This window comes from Homo sapiens, chromosome 2 (assembly GCF_000001405.40).
Source record: "Homo sapiens chromosome 2, GRCh38.p14 Primary Assembly".
Classification (NCBI taxonomy): Eukaryota; Metazoa; Chordata; class Mammalia; order Primates; family Hominidae; genus Homo; species Homo sapiens.
In genome coordinates, this window is record NC_000002.12 from 81,778,411 (window position 1) to 81,804,761 (window position 26,351).

The following is a 26,351-nucleotide window of genomic DNA, read 5'->3' on the forward strand; positions in this document are numbered from 1 at the left end:
TAAACAGATTCAACTCATACAAATAATGTTCTCTGATGACAGTAAAATTAAATTAGAAATCATTGACAAAAGAGCTCTGAAAAATTTCCATATATTTGTAAATTAAATTATATACTAGTAAAGAACTTATGGCTCAAAAAATATTCACAAAGAAAATTAGCATTTTCAACTAAAAATGAAAATACAACATATCAAAGGCATGGAATGCCACTAAAAAATATTTAGTGGGAAATTTATAGTATGTTACTAAAAAAAGGCAGGCCTTAAATTAATGAACTAGAAAAATACATGGAAGAAAGGAAGTAATATGAATAAGAGCCAAAATAGTTTAAACACAACCCAGAGAAATCCTAATGAGAAAAAAATGAAAGCAAAAGCTAATTGTTTGATCAATAGAGAGGTTTCCAGTCATAATGAGAAAAATATGAGAGAAGGCACTTATTAGCAACACCTGGATTTAGATAGGACCATAACAACAGAATCTACAGATATGAAAAATAAAGTGCTAATGTAAACAAATGTATGCCAATAAAATCAACTGATTAGGTTAAATAGACAAATTCTTTGAATGACAAACTACTATTTTTAAAATTCAGCTTGTAGTCAAATCTCCACAAACAATATTCTAGAACTAGATGGCTTCACTAGTGAGTTCTACCAAATATTTAACAAAGAATAACAAATCTGTAATAAATCCTATAGTTTTGTGTGGTATTTAGAGTTTTCATATATATATATATTATATATATATACACACACACATATTTATGCACACATATATTCATATATATTTCATATAAATATATACATATGAAAACTATATTTCATACCTATGTAATATGAATATATATGAACTCTAAAGACTATTAAAAACTGTATATATACATGTCAATATATGACATATATATTCGTATATATTGAATAAATACACATAAATTATTTTCCCTGTTTGCAGATGGCATTATTCATATATTTTTTATATCATATCATATATATTTTTATATATATGAATGATCATGCCATCTGCAAACAGGGAAAATTTGTCTTCCTCCTTTCCAATTTGGATGCCCTATCCTTCTTTCTCTTGCCTAATTGCTCTAGCTAGAACTTCCACTACTATGTTAAATAAAAGTGGCAAAAGTGGGTATCATTGCCTTGTCCCAGATCTTAGAAAAAAAGCTTTCCGGCCGGGCGCGGTGGCTCACGCCTGTAATCCCAGGACTTTGGGAGGCCGAGAGGGGCGGATCACGAGGTCAGGAAATCGAGACCATCCTGGCTAACAGGGTGAAACCCCGTCTCTACTTAAAATACAAAAAAAATTAGCCGGGCCTAGTGGCAGGGGCCTGTAGTCCCAGCTACTCGGGAGGCTGAGGCAGGAGAATGGCGGGAACCCAGGAGGCGGAGCTTGCCGTGAGCCAAGATCGTGCAGCTGCACTCCAGCCTGGGCGACTGAGCGAGATTCTGTCTCAAAAAAAGGAAAAAAAACTTTCCATTTTCCTCATTGGGTATAATGTTAGCTATGGGCTTGTCACATATGGCCTTTATTGCTTTAAGGTATATTCTTCTATACCCAATTTGTTGTGAGTTTTTATTTGAAAGGGACATTGGATATTATCAAATGCTTTTTCTGAATTTATTAAAACAATCATATGAGTTTTTTCCCTCGATTCTCTTAATGGGATGTATCACATTTACTAATTTGCATGTGTTGAAACATCCTTGCATACCTGGGATGAATTCCATTTGATTTTATAATTATGATCTTTTTAATGTGTTGTTGAATTTGGTTTGCTAGTATTTTATTTTGTACTTGTGCTTCTATGTTCATCAAAGGTATTGTCCTGTAATTTTGTTGTTGTGTCTCTATCTGGTTTTGACATCAGGGTAATATCGACCTCATAGAGTACGTTTGGAATTATTTTCTCCTTTTAATTCTTTAAGAGTTTGAGAGGAATCAGTATTCGTTCTTTAAATGTTTGTAGCATTGAGATGTGAAGCCATTAGGTCCTGTGATTTTTTTGGATGAGAGAGTCTTTACTACTGATTCAATCTTGTTACTCAATGTTGGTATGTTCAATTTTTCTATGTCCTTGTGATTTAAGCTTATTATGTTGTATATGTCCAAAAATTTAACCATTTAATCTAGATTTTGAAATTGATTGGTATATAGTTGTTCATAATATTCTTATGATCTTTTGTATTTCTATAGTGTCTGTTGTAATGTTCCCTTTTTAATCCGTGATTTTATTTTAATTTTCTCTTTTTTCTTAGTCTAGCTAAAGGTTTGTTAATATTATCTTTTCAGAAAATCAACTCTTTGTTGATCTTTGGGATTGTTTTTTCATCTATTTTATTTCTGTTCTGCTCTTTATTATTTTTTCTTGTTAATTTTGTGGGGTTTTGTGGTTGTTGTTCTTGGTTTTCTAGTTCCTTGAGATGCAATCATTAATTTCTTTGGGATATTTGTACTTTTTTGATGTATTTATTTCTATAAACTTCCCTCTTAAAACTTTTTTTTGTATCACAGTGGTTTTTGTATGTTGTGTTTCTATTTTTTTTTGTATCACAGTGGTTTTTGTATGTTGTGTATCTATTTTCAATTATTTTAAGGAAATTTTAAAATTTACCTTTAAAGTTCTTCATTGATTCATCTGTTGTTCAGGAGCATGTTGTTTAATATCCATAAATTTGTTTAGTTTCCAGTATTCTTCTGTTACTGATTTTGTGTTTTACCTTATTGAGGTCATATAAGATACCTGATATAATTTAAATATTTTAAAATTTACTGACTTGTTTTGTAACTCAATATATGGACTATTCTGGAGAATTTTCTATGTGTTATTGAGAAAAATGTATATTCTGCAGCTGTTGGATGGAATGTTCTGTAATAATCTGTTAGATCCATTTGGTCTAGAGTGCAGTTTAACTGATATTTCTTTGTTGATATTTGTCTATTGCCGAAAGTGAGGTGTTGAAATCCTCTACTTTATTGTGTTATATTCAGTGTCTCCATTTAGGTCTCTTAATATTTGTTTTACATATTAAGCATCCCAGTGTTGAGTATACATATATTTAAAATTGTTATATCCTCATGCTATACTGATTTCTTTATCATAAGATAATGGCCTAGTCTTTTTTTAAATACTTTTTTTTTGGCTTAATGTCTATTATGTCTAATATACTCCTATTCCTTTTTGTTTTCCATTTGCATGGAATACCTTTTTCTTTTCCTTCACTTTCAGCCAATATGTATATTTTTAGGTGAAATAAATTTCTTCTAGACAACATACAGTTGGATCTTGGTTATTTTGTTTGGTCTTAACCAATTCAGCTACTTTATTTCTTCTAATTAGAGAATGTAATTCATTTGCATTAAAGATTATTAAAAGGTAATGATTTAGTACTGCCATTTTGTTACTTGTTTTCTGGTTGTTTTGTAGGTACTTTCTTTTTCTTCTCTGCCTTTTTTTGTAGTTAAATGATTTCCTCTATGTGTATGTTTTGATTCTTCTATACCATTTATTGTGTATGCCTATTACTTGCTTTTGCTCTGTAATTACTACAAGGTTTATAAAAAATTCTTGTAGTTATAACATGTTATTTGGACCTGATAATGACAACTTTTATCACAAAGAAAAGTAAAAAATATATATTTTTAAAATAATGCCCTTCTCTTAACCAATTATTTTAAGTATTGTCTTTAATAGTTTTGTCTTTGGTCTTCATACTTAAGATGTAATGTATATACCACAATTATAGTATTAGCGTATATTCATCTTTATTATGTTTACCAGTGAGTTTTATGCCTTCAGATGTTTTCTTGTTACATGTTAGCATTCTTTTCTTTCATATTGTAAAACTCCCTTTACCATTTCTAAGATAGGACTGGTGTTGATGAACTCCTTCAGCTTTTGTTTGTCCAAGAGCCTTTATCTGTTTTTCATGCTGGAAAGATTTGCTGGGTACATTATTCTTGGAGGGCAGTTTATTTGCAGTTTGCCTTCAGCGTTTTAGATATATCATCCCACTCCCCTCTCTCTCCTGGCCTTATGTAGTTTCTGTGGAGAAGTCTGCTAAAAGCCATATTTGGGCTCCGTTGAACGTGGTATGTTTATTTTCTCTTGCTGCTATAAATATTTTTTATTGTCTTTGATTTTTGGTGACCTATGAGCTTTCTGTACTTAGCTGCTGATGTCTTCCTCCAGGTTTGGGAATTTTTCAGCCATTTATTTTCTTAAATATGCTTTCTAAGCCTTTTTCTCATCTCCTTTGGGAACTCCCGTTATGTAGAGGTTGGTATCCCATAATTCTTATAGGTCTTCTTTACTCTTTTTTTCTCTCTGCTCTGCTGATTGGGTTATTTCATATGTTCTGTCTTTGTTCTGATTCTTTCTTCTGCTTGATCAAATATACTGTTGAAGCTTTTTAATGCGTTTTTCAGATTAGATATTGTATTCTTCTAAAATTTCTATTTGGTTGTTTAACTTGTTTCCATTTATTTTTCAAGTTTCTCTTGTTTGTTCCTGGATTGTTTTCCACATTTTTTTAGAGTTATTCATATATTCTTGTGATTTTCTTTTGAAGTTCTTCAAAAGAATTATTCTGAAATTTGTTAGACATTCATATATCATTAACTTTTATAGGTCCGTTACTGGACCTTGGTTGGTTTCTTTTGATGATATCGTATTTCCCTTATTTTTCACCGGCCTGCATTTTCACATTGATACCTGCAAATTTGAGGAGAAAGACACCTTTTCTAGCTTTTGCAGTCATTTTTTTCATGGTGTTCGGCTTGTACTACTTAATATTAGAACTTAATTGCTGGCTTGCTGTTCTTCCCAGGCTCGGTAAGATTTATAGTGAGAATCAGAACTTAAATGCTGCACTGAAATTACACAGTAGTGCTACTGTTGTTTCTTGCCTAGGGGAAGTTATAGTAAGAACCAGAACTTGAATGCCGCCTTGCTATTGTTTCCTCATTGTCTGGGGAGTATTTATGCAAGTGCTGAAACTCAATTGCAAATTTTTTAGTTGTTTCTATTTTGGAGATAGTTTCCACATGAGCAACCAGGCTTTGTGAAAAATCTGGCCAGGAATTCAGGTCTTCCTGAAGATCATGCTCCATGAAGAACTATGGCAGCTACCAGTCTTTTTAGGATGGCTGATAGGGACACAGAGCAGTCACTAAGATCCACACACCAGTTGCTGTGATCATCACTTTTTGTCCCCAGTTTATCCCAGGTGTTCCAGACCTCCAGCGCTCATAATGGTTCTTGTGGAATGAGACTTAAGTGGGCTTCTCACAAAGATTCCCAACTGGTGGGGATATTGAGCATCCACCTCCAATTTTCTTCTCCCACCTCAGAAACCTTGGGTCCAGAAAAATTATGTTAGTGTCATTATGCCTGCTTGGGAGAGAAAGTGGTGCAATTTGAAATGACAATTCCTCCTAACTAATTCTGGCTTCTCTTGATTCTGTGCTCCCAGTGGATTTCTCTTCTCTCCTGAGTTCTCATGAATTCAGGGTGGTATTCTTGTCTTTGAATAATTTTGACTTTTACTTTTGTGGCAGGAAATGATGCCAGGAGATCTTCTAGAGAGTTTTAACCTTTAAGTGCTGCAATAATTTATCATCATTGATAAAACAGCTCAGGTCCACATACACCATTTGTGAGAAATGACTAGCTAATTTCTACTTTAATACTCCCAGGACCTAAAACCTAAGGATATGAAGCTGTGACATCAAAAATCTATGCTCAATTAATATAGCACTATAATTTACTAAAAGTACATTTTATTTTGAATTGAAATGTATCTCTGTGTAAATTTTATCTATCAATCTTAATCATATTCCCTTGAAATATCACAAAACATAACAAGGATTAAAGAGTGTGGTCTCTGGTTTCAAATCTCAAGTTAACTATTTCCTGGCATTCTGACCTTAGGCAAAAATATTGAACTTGGCGCTGCCTCAATTTTGGAGTTGTTCTGGTAATTAAAAGGCATGATTAGGTAATTCATTTGGCTCAATTGGTTTATAAGCACTATTCTCTGATTCAGATTGGTAATCAGAAGTGGGAGTTTTTTGGTAGTTTGTTTTAAGGAAAGTTTTTAATAACTATCACTTGATGGCTGGCTTAAGAAAACAATCCTGGGATTTTTATTCTACAGCAGAGGCTGATAATCTTCATTTTCTATGGAAATGCTCTTGTTTTGCATCTCCAGAAGCATATGCAAGTGACCTTTTGCATTGAGTAGAACGACTTTTTAGAAATTGTTTGTCTAAGGTGGTAGTTGCAATGTGAGCCTGAATGGTTTCTAATTTACAATTATTGGTGTCTCCCCATTATGTTACCTCTCCTATCTCAGATGAGCCTCCACTGGGACTTCTATGGGACACTTGCTTAGGAGGAAGCTGAGACAGCCTACATAAGTTAAGGAGCATGCTCACTATTAGAACTGGCTCAAATGACTTTCCTTGTAGACTGAACTCTGTAACCTCACCTACTGGGTTCTCACTGGGCTTTCAGAAAGGATTTGACAAATGCATGACTGAATGAGTAAATATAAGTCAGCAACAAAGATTCTTTTTGGGAAAGAAGTAGGCCTGTGCCACGAACTACCTTAAATATTTATTATAATTTTTGTTATCTATTTAAATAAATATGGGCCTCTTGTTTTGGAACAACAAAATCATAACTGAATAATGTTGAGTTTTCCTCAGGCCAGTCAGCATCATTTATAATCCAGATTATCAGGACTAACAATTATAATATTTATGATACTTAGACTTTGTAAAGCTTAAAACACGTCTAGTTTCTCATTGGCTTTCTCCTGCTATGAGGAGATCTCTTATTTGTCACCAAAGCATTTTCACAATAATTTTTGTTTTGTCCTGGCAAAATAACCACATGGTTGTTTGAACCATATTTCATTTTAATCCAGCTTTTCTGGTGGGTGTTTTATGAACCCATGACTATCATAGGAAATGCCACCATCTGGAAGACATTCTCCCAAATTTAAGTACAAAGTCTAAGTGAAGATTTATTATCCCATAAATAAGTAGTTAAGTGTCTACATAGAATCTCCCTGATATGAAAGAAGTTGTTATTTATAAGCAAATCTATAAATTACATCTACTCCATTCTTCACAAATATAGCAACCCATTTGTTTCATTTACTATACCTAGATAGCTTCTTTTTGCATTTCTTGTGTGAATAGTAAAATGGATTATCTGCAGTGAAACAATGCTTACCAGAACTTTAGCCACATACCTTTCTGGTTGCCTTGTTATATAAGAGTTGAATCACTAACCAGTTTTAAATTTCATTTAATTGTATTACTTTCCAGTCTAGATTTTAGACCTTCAAAACTGCATTGAGCTAAAGATGGCTGCTTCAGTAGTCACAACATAATTATAAATTCCTCAGTGTCTGGAGGAATTTGTTATAAAACTTGGTATTAGGTGATTTTGAGAATGGACTAAAGAAGTAGTCTAAATGGACTAAAGAAGTAGGTCTTGTTTTCTGATAGCATCCAAACCAAAGACAAGGGTAATTTTATGATTAGGTACATCAATTTTTTATTTAGGAATGGTAGGTGCAGTGTAGGACGAATGCCATAATTGATAAGGAGAAGCAGTTACTTATGTTCAGTGGAAGAAAGACATGTTTGTTCAGTTTTGTCATTGTACAATGCTAGTTTTTCGCTGTGCTCCCATATAATAATGTGTCATCCTGTTTGGTCTCAATGCATCAGAATAACAGAGTTATCTTGTCTGAGGTTAATGTTCTGTGACTTATTTCTGTTGAATATTGACCACCGTGGCCAAGCTCTTAGGGCCAGGCTTGGTACCAGCTGGAAGCTCAGAAAGTTGGCCAAATTAGGTGGAGAAATCATAGTACTAACCTGGGGAACCGAAGTTAAGAAGAGAGCTGAGTCAATCATGTGGCCCAAAACAAGAAACACAAACAGATTAGAAAATCTCTAGATGCCAGGAGGATTTTGACTTAACGGGAAATCAAGTGTTTTCAAACTTTTTCAGTTTTGTAAATAATTAAGAATAGGGCTTCTGGGATCTATTGCTAAATCTTTCAATGAGCCAGTGCTACTTTGAGTACCTGAGCTATCAAGAAACATACTTATTTTGTGATATGTAATCAAAATAAGACTTTCAGGTGGGAGAAAAATCTAATCCTTAAAACATCCAAGTATCTAGTCGATTTTATTTTGGGTACACATGACATCTACTATCCCAAATGTTGGGAAACAACAAATATCCATCCAAATTACAGACAAAATATCAGTTTCTCATTTAGTTACAAGGTCTACATTTGAGTGAAGTCATGGTCCACCCTGAAATTGTGATATTTATTTAAAATATCTAGTGTCAATCACCCTTTAAACAAATTAATGCAATATTCCTACTCTTGTTTGATCTCTGGAAGAATGAAAGATAAATACGTTGGTTGATGGTTCTTGATTTTGTAACCATTTGGCAGCTAACCGAAAATGCAATCTGTGTCTATTATACTCTTCTTCTAAATCCATTCACACCCTTCAAAATGTCACAACTAATCACCCTGCATCTCCAGCCTCTGGAGAACAGAAACTTCACACCCTCAATTTCTTCAATCATAGAGCTCTGTACAGTCAAGCGTGTAATCAGCCATTTGTCATATACTTTGGAAATTTCATAGTCAAAACAAAACAAAAAAAAACCTAGACAACTAAAAGATTGTTAAAAAGAATGAAGTTTCTATTAAAATAGATTATCCCATTTTGCATGTTCTTTCAACCTCACATTTTCCCTTTCTCTATCTTAACATAGAGACACATAGTTGACACAACTATATTCATTTGTTTTTAGCAGCACTGCTTGATCTACTTTGACATTGATGTTCATACAATCTATAGGATGGAGTAAATGACAACTGAAAATGGAACAATGACTTCAGCAGAGGGACCTTGGGCATAAATATTAGACCATATGCCAAATAAGGGTCAAACGAATAATTATTAGCTACTGACGCCTGTAAAGTTCATGTCTGGATTTTTCAAGTCCTTAATATAATGGGATCTTAGCTGGTCAGAAAAAAATATTTTTATATCTTAATAAACTTAAGATTGAATAAAATATCTATTAATACCAAATTCTGTATTTCTACCATTGTAATCATAAATTATACTTTAGACTTCAACTGAATTAGGTAATTAGGAAAATATAAGAGATCCTGACCTAGACTTTTAAAGAAGGCTTCTCAAATCTGTCCATGTCTGATCCTTGTTTCCTCTGTCCCCTTAGAACTTAGGAATTACCTACTTACCTGATGTCCCAGAACAGCACATCAGTTACCCTGATGTCAATGAGGAGGTCTGATTCAGGGGTACTCCTAATCAGTCTGTCTTTCACTTCTTAGAATGTTTTTGTAGTTCTGTCTGTTACTCACAACCTAGAAGTTGACTATATGGCAATAAGGAAAACAGGATTTATTTCCTGTTCTGTATCTTGCTATCTAGATGATCTTGGGTATATCTTTCACAGTGATACAGTTGGGTCCACGGTCTGCTTTTTCTTTTCTTTAAATTGAAAATGATATAGTAGAATCAGTGATTATTCTGAAATTAGAGATGGAGGAAATGCTGTGGAACAGGAGAGTTGTAATATGAGAATTTTAGGAAAGTTTGTGTATGGTAGAAATAAAGCAGGGAAGAGTCTCTGTTTGATTTATTCTAGCAACATTTGAATTACAAATCTTAAGTGAAGGTGTATGATATCTGTATTTATCAATGCTGGAATTGTACATAGATTGAGAACCACTGGACTAGGTAAACTTTAGGATATCTTCTGGTTCTCTATCCTTCTCTCTCTCTTCTTTTGGTAGTTTGTATAATTTACTTATTTTAATCTATATATTTGGTTTCTTGTTTGTAGATTTTTTTTGACAGCTAATTTTTTCGAAGGCAAGGATTTATCTTTCCTCTTTTGTACACACTAATTATATCTTGCACACTGCTGAGGCTCAGAGAATGATACCCAAGTATCGTGCTTTGACATGCTGAGTACTTTAAACAGAAAGATACTGAGGCTGGGCACAGTGGCTGATGCCTATAATCTCAGCACTTTGGCAGTCCCAGGTGGGAAGATCACTTGAGCCCAGGAGTTCAAGACCAGGCTGGGCAAAGTGAGACCCTATTTCTACAAAAACAAAAAAATTAAAAATTAGCCAGGCATGATGGTGTATGCCTGTAGTCCCAGGTACTCAGGAGGCTGAGGGAGAAGCATCACTTCTCCCACCTTTCTGTGTAAAAGCTGGCCACAAAGAAATTCTCTGACTTCCCTTGTCTAATAGTAGGTCATAGAACCTTTATTCTAGACAGAGTCCTGCCATATACCCAAGAGGAAGGAATGCCACACAGAAAGACCAAGAAAAATCTGAAAAGAGGCCTTGCTGAATGTCTTCATGTAGCCTGTCACCATTAGATCATTTACTTTTTTTCAATGGTATTCCTACATGGATGTCCATTCTTCATCAAACCTAATCATAAAAATAGACAATTTTCTCTGGGTCTTAACTTCTGAAAGCTCCCATGTCAAGTAAAACTTTGGTTAAATACATCTGTTATGTTTTTCTCTTGTTAACCTGTCTTTTGTTTTAGGAGTGTGAGCTGTGACTCCAATAATGGTAAGAAAAGTTTTCACACCTTTTCTATTCTTAAAACACTGAACACTTGATAAGATTCCTTGGAGGTCCCCTGGTGGGTTCCTCTGACAGGGAAGCAAGATTTTCCCAAGGATGAAGGATGAAAACCCTGGGAGCGGAGTATTTGCCTTTACTCTTTTCTTTTTCTATTTTCCCTAACTTGTTTATTCACTGTGAGCATCTATGTTTGTTTCTTCCCTTTTTTCTGTTTCAGCAAATGTTCAGTGTCTTCACTTGTTCTTAATTACTTAACACTTAATCTAAGGAAATAACTGATAAATTCATTAGCACTGAATTTTAAAACCTAGTAAAAAAGCAGAGTGCTAACTCTTTCATGGGGTATTTTAGCTTTCTAATGAAAAAGTATTCACACTAATTGAGAAAATGTTCCAATGGTAAGATTTCAAGTATAAGTAAGGTCAGAGGAAAGAAAGTTTTGCAAATACAGAGGTCTTGCTAAAAATTCAGAAGTGATAGGATGTAAAAAAAGGAAAAAAAAATCTGGGATATTCTAGGATAATTAACTTATTGTTAATAATACATTTTATTTTTATTAATGAAGAGAACTTTTTATTTCCACTTCAGAAAAAACCCAAGAAACTGGAATTTGTGCCAGAAATTTTAAACTTTTAAGAGAAATATTAAGTGAAATTAGATCAGAATTTCGCTCAGTTTGGGCATCCTTAATAAAAATGTAATTTTAATTTTTATGAACCAAAGTTATATACGTTTAACTCCTTCAAACATGTATTTGATATCAGAAAGCAGATGTGGAGAACTACATGTGTTTAACTATTTTGAAATTGTGATGGGCAATAGCCATAAAAAATTGTATAATATAGTATTTGTAGACATTTTCATGGCTTTTTAAAAACATTTTTATAAAATCTGCCAAATTTTATGAAATTTACATTTAAAAAGTCTAAGATTTATAAATGGTCTGTTAAAAATATTTAAGGACTTAATGTACGTAATTTATCATATTAGTTGGGTTTGAGCTCTTTGTGAACTTCAGTGGGGATGGAAAATTGAAATAGTAAAAGGAAAAATAAATGTATTGGTTCAGATATTTTAGTTACCTGTAAAATAATAATAATAGTAATCATCATCATCATCACTCCAAATGGCTTAAGCCACAAAGTAAGTTTCAGCCACTGAAATAGTAAAGACTGGGGTCAGGCTGGCCTTCATCTCAGCTGGCTTCCCTCATAGTGGCATTTGCAGGATCTATCCATGTACATACCAATGCCCAGAAACAGAGATCTTCTAGCTTCCTCTGAACTACTGAAAAATTGCTACACTCTCCTCTGATCTCTACCTATAACCAGGGGAATATCAAATTATCACCCACCTCTGAACCATGCACTGAATAAAATAGATGAGTTTAATTGGCTTAACAAATCAAGATTCTTGCTAAAACTAGGTAGATGTGAAGACTGGGCTGTAACTGGAAGGCATGAGACACAGATGTGGGGTAGGCAATCTCATGTCTACTACACATAGTATAGGTTTCTACTGAAGATGGCAGCTGATAGGTGGTGAGAAATGGAAGCAAAAGAAAGCAAAGCCCTGGGAAAATGGAGAAAGTGTCCTTATCTTGGTCTCTGGGCTAGAGGCTTGGGGACTCTAAAAGAAAGATTGTCTCTGAGAAGCAAGCAACATTCTTTGTCATTTTATTTCTTCTCATGATTATCTCATTTGTCACTAAAACTCATGTGCAGCCTCAATAAGGAAATTTGTCTTGGAAACACAGCCCTGAAAGTATTGTGATTATCTTCAATGTGGGTTGGTCTCACTGTAAACTAACCTATTAGGAAACAAAATGCCCTTCATTTTCATAAGACATAATCAAAGAGTGGCTTTTTATTTTGAAATAATTTTCACTTGAAAAATATTAACCATTATGATTACAAAGGACCTGTGATAGCATTTGTTGAGTGCTTAATATTTTTATATGCATTATCTTTCTTAATCCTCACGACTACCTGATGAAGTAGATCTACCATGTCACTTTTTTTCCAGGTGTTTTGAAGCATAATACATTGCCATACAAGTCACGCTTTGTTGGGGTAAAGTTTTAGAACCTTTGGCAAATGCATAAAGTCATGTAATCTCAGTCCAGTCAGCAGTCTCTTTACCCCAAAAAGTTCTCTGCTATCTTTGGAATTAATCCTTTCTCCTCTTTTAGAGCTCGTTGTAACCACTGATTTGCTTTGTGTCCTTCTGCTTTTGCTTTTTCCATAATACCATATAGATGGAATCATACAACATATAGCCTTTTATTTTTAGATTTTTCATTTGCATAATGCATTTGATATTTATCCATGCTGTTATCAATGCAAACCTCCTTGGATGTTATTGGTAATTCATTTTTAAAGGAATTCTTGAATAATATCACAGCATACAGATGCACCAGAGTTTGTTTTCCCACTCACAAAGTAATGGATATTTGGATTTTTTTTTGGTGATTATGAATAAAGCCAGAGTAAAATATTGTGTCAGACTTTTTTATATGACTATATATTTACTGAGACTTTCTTTCATTTATCTTTGGATATTATCTATAAATGGGATCACTGTGTTGCATAGTAGATATATGCTTCATTTAATAATGAGGAAATCAAGCAATTAAAAGGTTAAATTAGCAGAACTCCAATTTAAACAAAAGCAGTTTAGCCCCAAATTACATAGTTTTAACCATGACCTCCACATACTTGATCTAACATATCATTGTAAATAATAATTTTTTAGATTGAATGCAATTTTTACTCTGATAACATATATCGTAAACATTGCCGTATATAAGAAAGGACCAGCAAAGATCAGGATTTGCTCTTTTATGGCAGATGCTGCTCTTGGTACTTTTTTGTTTCTTTAAAACCTTTCTCCTATGTCTGGAATTAAACATTTTCTTTGTTTCTATATAAGATTAACATCTTCTCAAGAGCAAAATACATACACATACCCTTCCATGTGAAATCTTCTTTCTCTCTAGTGGCCACCCCAAGTTTAAGAAGGACCTCATGCCCAAAATAAAGTAAAAAAAGAAATCCTTAGATACTTTGGAGTCTAAACTGTTTGGCTTACAAATAAGGAATGAGCGTCTTTTGTAAGGTTACTGAGCAAATCCATAGCAGAACTGATTTTAAACTGAGGATTTTGCATGCCCCCCAGATTATTCTCCAAACTGATAGTGTTTCTCTTATTGAATTCAGCATAAGCCAATAATCAAATATTTATTGATGTCTACTAATATATTAGGTTATTTTGAAAAATACCACCAATATCATCGTCAATGCCATCTCCTGATAATGTTAACTCAATAACTCCCATTATAACAACTTTTATTTACATTTTCTTCATTCTGTCACCTCTGAAGATGGCTATTTCAGCTTCATAGTAAGTGTCATTAAGGTCTCCAAAAGTTATGAGTTACATTCTTTTTCTTTGCCTAAACATTGGTTCTCAATGGAACCAATTATACAACAGCCTACATCTACTTACAATGGTTAAAACTCTGCTTTTCAACTGATTTTAAATGTGCCCTAGTAAACATTTGAAAAGATAAAAATTATCAATTGCTAACCTTCTTTTTCAATACTTCTTTCCTCTTTCCTGTTTTTACTATTTTTCTTCCAGAACTTATCAATTGCTTTTGTGGCAGCTTTTGGCTCAGGGACACTATTGAAAATTTAATCATGCTCAAATTTTACCCAGTGAAAACTTAATTGCTAACTTTTTCTCATTCAGATAGGACTTGTGTATTATTTAATAATCTTTAAACCAGGAAAAGCCTTAAAATTCTCTAAAGCACTAGGAAAAAAATTAGAAGTAAATTATAGATAGCTTTGACAAATGTTCCCTCAGTAGAAATCTTTACATTATAAAGGTAAGAGGATATTTGGCTTTTTAAATTTCATGCTTTTTATTTTATTAAGTTCCAGAGTACATGTACAGGACGTGCAGGTTTGTTACACAGGTAAACATGTGCCATGGTGGTTTGCTGCACCTACCAACCCATTACCTAGGTATTAAGCCCAGCATGCATTAGCTATTTTTCCTGATGCTCTCTCCCTCGCGCCACCCCTTCCCAAAGGCCCCAGTGGGTGTTGTTTCCCTCCCTGTGTTCATGTGTTCTCGTTGTTCAGCTCCCCCTTATAAGTGGGAACACGTGGCATTTGAATATTTGGCTTTTAAGGCTAGTTCTGCTCCTGTTCACTTTGGTTATCCACCTATTTGTGGAAGACCTATGGGAAAATTTTAAAAGATTAGCTTATTTTCTTCTTTACCCACAGTCTAAATTGTCTCTTCTCCTTTACGTTTGTGCATTTTAAAGTATTGTGATATAGTTCTCCATTAAATTAGAAAATATATAAACTAAGCTACCACTATCTGAATTAGGGAATGATTTTTGATAATATTTATTTTTTAAATCTTTGTGTTAAAAGCAATTATAAAAAAAAACAATCACACATATGCTTATGGTTCAGGGTTCAGCAGATTGGGAGGATTTTGGATTTGGGTTCACTGGTTAGGTCAGTGGAAGTTTCTGCTAACTCTAGAAACACTTTAACAACTTTTGTGAGGCTAATGCAGCAGTCAGACAAAGCTAATTTATCTCCATGGCTTTCTGTTCTTCTAGGGTGACAGTTTGTCAGTTTGACTTCCCATTTAAAGGTCAAAGCAGTGCACCTTAATTGATGGTGGGTGGAAAATGTCTTGAGAAGATTATAACCTTCAGCTTGCTTAGGAATTTGGTAACTGATGTTTGCTAAACTTCATTTGCTTTACTCCCCAACCCTCACCTCAAAATTTTATGTCTGTGAACAAAGTGGAACTGGTTTATTATACCAACCTGCTTATCCCCATAACTAAACTATAAATCTATACATTAACCAGTATACAATATAATATGCCTGTATGGTCAGCACTGAAAAGATCATAGGAAATGATTTGCTAGCTAGCATGGAAGATCGTATTAACTTAGGCCATAGGAACACTGCACTGTAAGTAACAGACCCTACGTAATGCCTTACAGGTCTAAAATGATTAAGTGATTACAAAGCATTCACAGAACTACTGCTACTACTATTTATAACAATGAGTTAAATGATTTTTATGTGCACTTGTCACCAGGCTAAGTGACTTACAAGCATTGTCTCATTTAATCTTTACTAAAATCCCATATATTATATTTTGTAATATAATTATATTGCATTAAAATATATTATCACTATTTAATGGACTGAATATTTGCATCCTCCACAAAGTTCATATATTGAAGACTGAGGTGGTTTGGCTGCATCCCCACCCAAACCTCATCTTGAACTGTAACTCCACAATTCCCACGTCATAGGAGAAACCCAGTGGGAAGTGACTGAATTATGGGGGTGGGTCTTTCGTGTGCTGTTCTCGTGATAGTGAATGAGTCTCACAAGATCTGATGGTTTTAAAAATGGGAATTTCTCTGAAGCAGCTCTTTCTTTGCCTGCTGCCGTCCACATATGATGTGACTTGCTCCTCCTTGCCTTCAACCATAATTGTCAGGTCTCCCCAGCCATGGGGAACTGTAAGTTCAATAAATCTCTTTCTTTTGTAAATTGCCCAGTCTCGGGTATGTCTTTATCTGCAGCATGAAAACAGTCTAATAAATACAGTAGAGTATTGTTGAAAAGATACCTGAAAATGTGGAAGCGACTTACTTTGGAACTGGGTAACAGGCAGAAGTCAGAACACTTTGGAGGGCAGAAACACGTGGGAAAGTTTGGAACTTCCTAAAGACTCATTGAATGAATGGCTTTGACAAAAATGCCCATACTGATGTGAACAATGAGGTCCAGGCTGAGGTGGTCTCAGACGGAGATGAGGAACTTACTGAGAACTGGAGTGAAGGTAACTCTTGTTATGTTTTAGCAAAGAGACTGGTGGCATTTTGCCCCTACTCTAGATTTGTGGAACTTTGAACTTGAGAGAGACGATTTAGGGTATCTGGCAGAAGAAATTTCTAAGCAGCAAAACATTCAAGAGGTGACTTAGGTATTGTTAAAGGCATTGAGTTTTACAAGGGAAGCAGAGTAAAAAAGTTTGAAAAATTTGCAGCCTAACAATGTGATTGAAAAGAAAATCCCATTTTCTTAAGAGAAAATTCAAGCCAGCTGCAGAAATCTGCAAAGTAAGGAGGAGCTGAATGTTAATCCCCAAGACAATAGGGAAAAGGTCTCCAGGGCATGTCAGAGGTCTTCATGGAAGCCCCTCCCATAAGAGGCCTGGAAGCCTAGAAAGAAAACAGGGTTTCCTGGATCAGGCCCAGGGTCCCCATGCTATGTGCAGCCTAGGGACTTGGTTCCCTGTGCCTCAGCCACTCCAGCCATGGCTGAAAGGGTCCAACATAGAGCTTGGCCTGTGGCTTCTGAGAGTGCAAGCTCCAAGCCTTGGCAGCTTCGATGCCGTGTTGAGCCTGCAAGTACACAGAATACCAGAATTGGGGTATGGGAACCTCCACCGAGATTTCACAAGATACATGGAAATGCCTGGATGGCCAGGCAGAAGTTTGCTGCAGAGGCAGGGCATTCATGGAGAACCTCTGCTAGGGCATTGCAGAAGGGAAATGTGGGGTCAGATCCCCCCTACAGAGTCCCTACTGGGGTACCACCTAGTGGAGCTGTGAGTAGAGGGCCACAATCCTCCAGGCCCCAGAAAGGTAGATCCACTGACAGCTTGCACCATGTGCCTGGAAAAGCTGCAGACATTCAACACCAGCCTGTGAAAGCAGCCAGGAGGGAGGCTGTGCCCTGCAGAGCTATGGGGGCAGAGCTGCCCAAGACCATGGGAACCCACCTCTTGCGTCAGTGTGACCTGGATACTAGACATGGAGTCAAAAGAGATCATTTTGGAGCTTTAAGATTTTACTGTCCTGCTGGATTTTGGAATTGCATGGGGCCTGCAGCCCCTTTGTTTTGTCCAACTTCTCCCATTTGGAATGACTCTATTTACCCAATGCCCATACCCCCGTTGTATATAGGAAGTAACTAACTTGCTTATGATTTTACAGGCTCATAGATGAAAGAAACTTGCCTTGTCTCAGATGAGATGTTGGACTGTGGACTTTTGAGTTCATGCTGAAATGAGTTAAGACTCTGGGGGACTGTTAGGAAGGCATGATTGGTTTTGAAATGTGTGGACATGAGATTTGGGAGGGGCCAGGCTGTTTCCCTACCCAAATCTCATCTTGAATTGTAACTCCCACAATTCCTACATGTTGTGGGAAGAACCCGGTGGGAGATGATTGAATTATGGGGGCGGGTCTTTCCTGCACTGTTCTTGTGAATGAGTCTCATGAGATCTGATGGTTTTAAAATGAGAGTTTCCCTGCACAAGTTCTCTTTGCTGGCCGCCATCCATGTATGACATAACTTGCTTCTCCTTGCCTTATGCCATGATTGAGAGGCCTCCCCAGCCATGTGGAACTGTAAGTCCAATAAACCTCCTTCTTTTGTAAATTGCCTAGTCTTGGGTATTTCTCTATCAGCAGTGTGAAAATGGACTAATATAAAAGCCTTAGCCCCTAATGTAACACTATTAGGAAATAGGGCTTTAAGGAAGTACTTACATTAAGATGAGATCATGAGGGTGAGGTCTTCAGGTTGGCATTAGTGTCCTTATAAGAAGAGAAAAGAGAGGATATTTTGTCTTGCTCACTCCCCCCCCAGCATTTTTTTTTTTTTTTTGGCTATGTCAGGATACAGCAAAAAGGCAATCAGCCACTCACTAAGAGGGCCTTCACCAGAACCTGACCATTCTTGCATCCCAATCTTCAGAGTAAAAAGAAATTTATGTTGTTTAAGCTACCCCATTCTCCATCTATAGTATTTCATTATAACAGCTAAGCTGACTAAGATACTTCATTATTTGTGTGAGGAAACTGAGACTAGATAGGCTGAAAATAATTTATTAAACTCGCATAGGTAGTAATGATGCCAGTGGAGACAGAGCATAGGCCCAGGCCTTAATGGATCAAAAGCCATGTTTTTATTTTGGGTTTTGTGTGTGTTTGTGGTTTTTTGCACAGAGGTAGGTATAGCAGTACTAAAGACAGATGTAGCAACCCCATAGTTTCCTCCCAAAAACTTTCTATGGAACATAGTAAGGGCCGAAGTTGAGATATCACTCCATTTGTTTATTCATTTACTCCATTTTTGGCTTTTCATATCAGAAGACATACTAGTGTAGATGATGATGTGTCTAACACATAAAGGCAACTATTAAAGCAGTAAAGATACACTATAGAATGCTGGCAATTCTACTTTTGTTTGCACCTGACACTTTTCCTGTATGACTCATACTATTCTATGTAATACTATGTTAGTCTAAGTAATTATCCTTTTTTTTGGGGTGGGGGATGGGGTGGCAAGGCCTTGCAATCTTGCCCAGGCTATACTTGAACTCCTGTCCTCAAGCAATCCTCCTACCTCAGTCTCACAAAGAGCTGGGATTATAGGCATGGGCCTCTACTCCTGGCCAGCAATCATCTAATATATTGTCAGGCTTGTACAAATTGAGTATGGTAAACAATTTCAATCTTAGGTCCAAGTAGGGCAAAATGCTCCCTTTCTTATCTAAGAAAATCATTGATTTTCTTTTTTTTTTCCCCCACAATTACTCTCTTCTCTTAACACAACTTTCATATTTTCTTATGTCATGGAGATTCCAAACCATATTTGAGCAGGGAGAAAAATCAGTGCACTTGAAGATAAGACAATGGAAATTGAGTCTTGGAAGAAGAGGGAACAGATTCTGTGGGACACAGCAAACAGACCACCATGTGCATTGTGGGAATCCCCGAAGAAGAAGAAAAAGAAAATGGAATAAAATACTCAAAGAAATAGTGGCTAAAAACCTCTTAAATGAAAAAGATACAAGTACGAACATTAAAAAAATTCAAAACACATCAAAATGAAATCAAAGAGACCCACACTAAGACACTTTATAATCAATCTTTTGAAAGATAAAGACAAAAAGAAGATCTTAAAAGCAGCAAGATAACTGACTTACATACAAGAGATCAGCAATACCATTATCAGATTTCTCATGAGACATTTTGAAGGCCAGAAGGCATTGGACCTTGAAAATCTCCCAAGTGCTGAAAGAAAAAGCAAAAACAAAACAAAAAAACCCACAAAAACAAAACAAAACAAAATAGCCACAAAAAATGCTGTCAACCAAGAATCCTATAGAAAATCTGTCCTTCAAATGTAAGAAATTAAAACATTTTTAGATGAACAAAGCTTTGGGAATTTATTACCACTAGACCTACTCTACAGAAAAGTTTCAAGGGACTTCTACAAAATGAAATAACACTAGACAGTAATTTGAAGCCATATAAAGAAATAAAGATGTCAACAAAGGTAAGAACATGAGCGATTATAAAACTAGTGTTATTGTAATGGTTTGTACTTTCACTTTTTGATTTCTACATAATTTAATTAATACATTAAAAATAATTTTAAAAGCTAGTTTTGTTATAGCTTTAGTTTGTAACTCCACATTTTGTGTTTTTTAAAATATAATTTAAGACTAATACATTTAAAAGAATTATTCGTTTCTTTGGGGGCATGCAGTGTATACCAGTGTAGTTCTATCACATAAGTGACTAAAAGAGGTGAGTACAAAGCTGCAAAGTTTTTGCATGTTATTCATGTTAAATTGATACAAAGTTAATATAGAATATTATAGCTTTAGAATATTAAATGTAATCCACATGGTAACATGTATATATACAACAGGAAGTAAGAAATTTAAACATGTCACTACAAAATAAACAGAAGAGGAAAAATAGAGAAAAATCAAAAAACCCAAAAGTTATTTCTTTGAAAAGATGAACAAAATGAATGAAACATTAGTCTAGCACTAAAAAAAAGAAAAGACTCAAATTGCTAAAATCAGAATTGAAAATGGGTATGTTACTCCTGTTTCTAAAGAAAATAGGACTCTGGATAATTACATAGCAACAATTGGATAATCTAGATAAAATGAACACATTTCTAGAAACACAAAATCTAGTAGGAGTAAGTCATGAAAAAATAGAAAATCTAAATAAATCTGTAACTATTAAGGAGATTGAATTCATAATCCAACATCTGCTGACCAAGAAAAAGAAAAGAAAGCCCTAAACCTGGGCTTTTTGGTGAACTTATTTCTTTGTTGAATTAAGCTAAACAGTTAAAGAAGAACACCAATCTTTAAGTTTTCTGGAAAACTGAAGAACAGGAAATATTTCCCGATTTACTCTATCAGGCCAACATTACTCTGATCTAAGACAAGGATGCTAATAAAATTATAGGCCAAGATATCTTATAAACATTAATGCAAAATTTCTCAGCAATATACTAACAAATTCAGCAATATAATTTAACATATGCAAATTGATCAATATAATAGACTGCATTAATAGAATATATATTTAAAAATATATGTGTATGTAAAATTTTATCTTTGACCCCCAAGTTGTTTAGAATTCTTACTAATTCTTAAACATGAGAGTTTTATTCTCTCTCTCTGTTATTTCTAATTTAATTTTATAACAAACAATGAATATGATCTGGTAAGATAAGACTTAAAGTGTATTTTTTTGCTGCTTTGTGGTTTAGCTTGTGATCAATTTTTATAGTCTGTGTTGTAAAAAAAAGAATGTATATCGCCCATTTATGAAGATCAACATCCCATGTTAATTTTGTTGTTTAAATCTTCCATAGCACCTTTAAACTTCATTTATTTTTTCCTTCTTGATCTATTAATATTCAAAAGATATTTATTCAATCTCCCTTTAATCCCATCATGTTTTACTGCTTTCTGAATAACTTCTACAGATCTTTCAGTTTACTAGTTCATTCTTTACCGTGGTCTAATAGAAATTTAAATGTGGGAATGATTAGTACATCCATCTTACATGTGAGAAAACTAAACTTCAGAGTAACTTGGCTAAGAAAGTACATTTGGTATTTAATGGTTGAACCAGAGTCTAATTATACAGGGCTTCAAAATCTATTCAGCTTTATCCCTAACACAATAAAGAACATTTTTCTAAAGAACAAGAAAGAATTGGATTGATATTCTAGCAATCACATAGAGACACCTAGCTAGAATGATAATATTGGGGATTCAGCTTCATTTGAAACCAGCTGATTACATTTGTTGCCATGAGGGTTTCTGAGCTAAACTCACAGCTTTGAACTCTGTGTGGACCAGTTTATTTGTTCAGGGACCCTGAAATTCTATCAAAACTATGCACTAACAGGCACATGTAGAACCAATGTAAAAGTGCATTTGGGGGAGTAGGGAAGAGCTTAAGGTATTTTCCTGTCAAACTCTTCAATATTCTTGGCCTCAGAAAATAGATCAGAATAATATATTTTTTTAAATGCTTGCTACTCTGCAACCTCCAGATTCTTGAAAAGGATAGATAAATTGAGATTTACTTGGAGATTTGCTTCCCTACTATTTTGCCTTTGTTAGTCAGTTTACAGAGGAAATTTATTAGCTTTTGTGATAAAAGATTCTTCATAGTTCTATCTGCAATGGAATGTTTTTACTTGAATAGAAATAGATCAATAGAAAAATATGTGATTTTAGCTTTTCTACCTACAGATTCTATCAATTATAAAACAAACATTTGAAGTAGATTGTCTTCTGCTCCCCTTAACAGAAAAAATTTCATTGACTTGCAATTTTATTGATCCTTGAGGTTGCTCTGCACTTTGCTAGTATTAAGAACCCTGGGGAATGAGAAGCTATTAGAAATTCTGATTCCATGCACGAGAAATCCACCCATTTCCCCTCTCATATTTACACCTGCCAATATTTTTCTCATTTGCTTCAGAGTGTGATAAATTTAGGCATCTTTTAGCATGCTATTCTTCATGTAATTCTATCATCCACACAAACTTCTTTTTAACGTAAGCCATTAAGCATTATGAAGTTTCAATAGATGGCACCTACATAGCAGTATTGGACTATAATATTAAGTTCACTAAAGAAATCATACTTGCTGAAACTCCTTTATCCACTTGATATAAAAGGCTATATAAGATAGAATATATCAATATTTTCAAATTACAGCATGTGGGAACTATTCACTGATCAATACTCTGTATACCTTAATACTATCTAGAAAATCCACACTGAAGATTTTTATTTCTTATTTTAACCTGTTATTTTAGGTCTTGAACCTTCTGTTAGTCTCCATCTCCAACTGTGACCTTATTGTGTTTTTTAAGCCAAGAGCAGAATGTAATCAATGGGACATGATATTAAAGTTACTGTAATCACTGTTTTGAAAGTTATTCCATATATATGATCAGAATAACAAGTTCTGTTAAATCATAGCTATAGATACCATAAATCTTTTGATTCACGCATTTATTCATTTACTCAGTTAACAGCATAGATTGAATAGATTCTAGGTGCTCAGCACTTGGTTACATACTCGGGACACCAAAATAGTATATTATGATTACTTCGATAAAAAGTTAAAGAAATTTAACTATTTAAAATTAAGGAAAAGGGTAGAAAATCATTTATTCACTCACTTCTCTAGAAAATGTACAGTTAACCTTTGCTTTCAGCTATGGTGAGATCCAGTAAAATAATACTCTCCAAAGTTTACCTTATTTTCTCTATATTCCTGCTCTTCTTCCTCTACAACACACAGACAAAATGGCCATAGCATTTGTTACCTTCCAGGTTTATGTTTAACACATAATTCATAATCTCAGTTGACTTCTCTCATGATCATTCCAGAAAGTATCACAAGGGATTTTCTAATTACTACTTTTCTATATTGAGTCACTTGCTCATTCTTTAATCAGACTATGGCTAGGAGGTTAAAATGTTCTGATGATTCTATTTTGGTTCATGAGTTCACCCCTAATGTTAGTATCAGAAATGTACACATTCATATTTCATAATGACTACGAATGAAAGTGTTGGTTCTGTTAACCAGTCAGCAAAGACAGAGCTTGAAGGGCTCCAGCTGTTATGGTGTTCTTACACATACACACACTCATATACACAGAAAAAGAAGTAATACATGCCAATCAACTATATATGTTCCTGCCTTGTTCTCAGAGATGCCAAAGCTTGCCTGAGGATGTTAATTTTAACCTGACCTATCATAAATTAATAGGATCTAGCCAAAAAGGTAAATGAGATTGCTCATGGGAAGTATTATAGGTGACGAGAATAAAATATTTAAAATCCCTAAGGTTGGAAGGATATTGACTCATTCAGGAAGCTTAATGAGAGCTAGTAAATCTAGAACACAAAGCATTTGATAGAGAGTATCAGAAGGTAATGCTAAAGAAACACATAGATAACTCTATGTCTGTTGTACCAGGAAATGTAGATACTTTATATTTTCATTGGAAGAAGAAATAGTCACCATTTCTTATTTTAAAATACAGATATAACAATCAAATAAGCAATTTTGGAAAAACACAAAATGAAATGTACCATCTTAATTATTTTGAAGTGTATAATTCAGTAATGTTAAGTACTTTCACATTATTGTGCAGCAACTCTGCTGAACATTTGCCTCTTGCAAAACTAAAACTCTATAATGACTAATCCAATTGGGGTATAACTGACAAGCAAGAAGTATATATATTTACAGTGTACCATATGATGTTTTGATATATGTATACATTGTAAAATGATTTAATCAAGCTAATTAACTTACCCATCACCTCTTATTTTTTTGTGGTGAGAACATTTAGCATTTCCTCAGTAATTGAGAATATAATTTACTATTACTAACTATAGTAACCACGCTGCACAAATAGATCGCCAGAGCTTATTCATTCTACCTAAAACTTTATATCCTTTGGCTAATCACTCCTCATTCCCTTCCCCCAGCCCCTACTCTGTGCTTGTCTGGATTCCACATTTAAGTGAGGTAATATAGCATTTGTCTGTGTCTGGCTTATTCTACTTAGCATAACATCCTCAAGGTTCAGCCATGAGGTCACATAGGACTGGATTTTCTGTAAGGCTGAATAATAATATGTTATATATATACATCACAATTCCTTTATCTATTGCTCATGGACACTTAAGCTGATTATACATCTTAGCTGTTATAATGTTGCAGTGAACATGGGAATACAGAGATCTGTTTAACATTCTTAGGCTATTTCGTTTAGGTATGTATGCAGGAGTAGGATTGCTAGGTAATATGGTAGTTCTATTTTTAATTTTTAAAGGAACCTCAACGCTATTTACAATGGCTGTACTAATTTACCTTCCCACCAACCACATACAAAGTTTCCCTTCTCTCTACATCCTTGACAAGACTTTATCATTTATCTTTTTTATAATAGCCATTGTAATAGGTATGAGGCAGTATGTCATTGTGGTTTTAATTTGCATTTTCCTGATGATTAGTGATGTTGAGCATTTTTTCATATACTTGTTGGCCATTTGTATGTTTTCTTTTGGAAAATATCTGTTCAAGTCTTTTCCCCATTTTTAATTGGGTTGTTTTCTTGACATTGAGATGTGTGAGTTTGTTATTTATTTTGGAAATTAATGCCTTATCAGAAGTAAGGTTTACAAATATTTTCTCACATTCCATAGGCTTTTTACTCTGTTGTTTGCTGTGCAGAAGTTAGTTATTTAATTTGATACAATTTCATTGTCCATTGTTGCTTTTGTTGCCTGTGCTTTTGAGGTCATGTTCAAAAAATCATTTCCAAGACAAATGTCAAGAAGCTTTTCCCTTTTCTTCTACGACTTCTACAGTTTCAGGTGTAACAGTTAAGTGTCCATTGTCATTCTTCTATACATAGACACTCAGTTTTCCCAACACCATTTATTGAAGAGACTCTTTCTTTCCTCATTCAAAGGCCTTGGCAACTTTGTCAAATATCAATTGACAATAACTGTGTATATTTACTTCTTGGCTGCCTATTCTGTTCCAGTGACCTATACATTTGTTTTTATGTCAGTACAATGTTGCTTTCATTACTATAACTCAGTATATTTTGAAACAATGTAATGTGATGCCCTAAGCTATGTTCGTGTTTCTCAACATTGATTTGGCTATTTGTTTTATGTGTGTATAGTTCAATATAGGTTTTAGAATATTTTTCTATTTCTGTGAAACATGCCATTAGAATTTGTATAGGGATTGCACCGAATGTACTGACTGCATTAGGTAGTATGGCTGTTTTAACAGTATTATGTGTTCCAATTCATGAACACAGAGTATCTTTCCATTTGTGTCTTCAGTATTTTTCATCAGTTTTTAAATTTTTCCACTTACAGCTTTTTTTTACCCCCTTAAATTCATTCCTAAGTGGTTTTATTGTTTTTGATGTTTTGTAAATTGGATTTCTAAAAAATTTTTTTTCAGATAGTTCATTGTTAGTACATAAGGGAACTAATTTTTGCAGTTGATTTTGTACCCTGTAATTTTACTTAATTTGTTCATTAGTATAATAGTGTTTTGGTGACATCTAAAATTTTCTGTATATAAAATTATGTCATCTGCAAACTGAAAATTTTATTTATTTATAATTTAGATGCCTTTTGTTTCTCTTTCTTGCCTCATTGTTTTGGCTTGTATTTCAAGTACTATATTGAATAAACGTGGC

General features: G+C 34.4%; 1 long non-coding RNA gene across 14 annotated transcripts in view; it reads left to right on the forward strand.

Annotated features, from left to right (window-relative positions):
- Positions 1–26,351, forward strand: part of LOC102724542 (uncharacterized) — a 368,996-nt gene that overhangs the window by 296,673 nt on the left and 45,972 nt on the right. For 3 of the 14 annotated variants that reach the window (NR_187693.1, NR_187695.1, NR_187700.1), the window contains one exon: positions 19,408–20,108. The exons of the other annotated variants lie outside the window; for them this stretch is intronic. This is a non-coding gene — a long non-coding RNA (uncharacterized LOC102724542). The remainder of the gene's footprint in view (positions 1–19,407; positions 20,109–26,351) is intronic. 14 annotated transcript variants of the gene reach the window in all.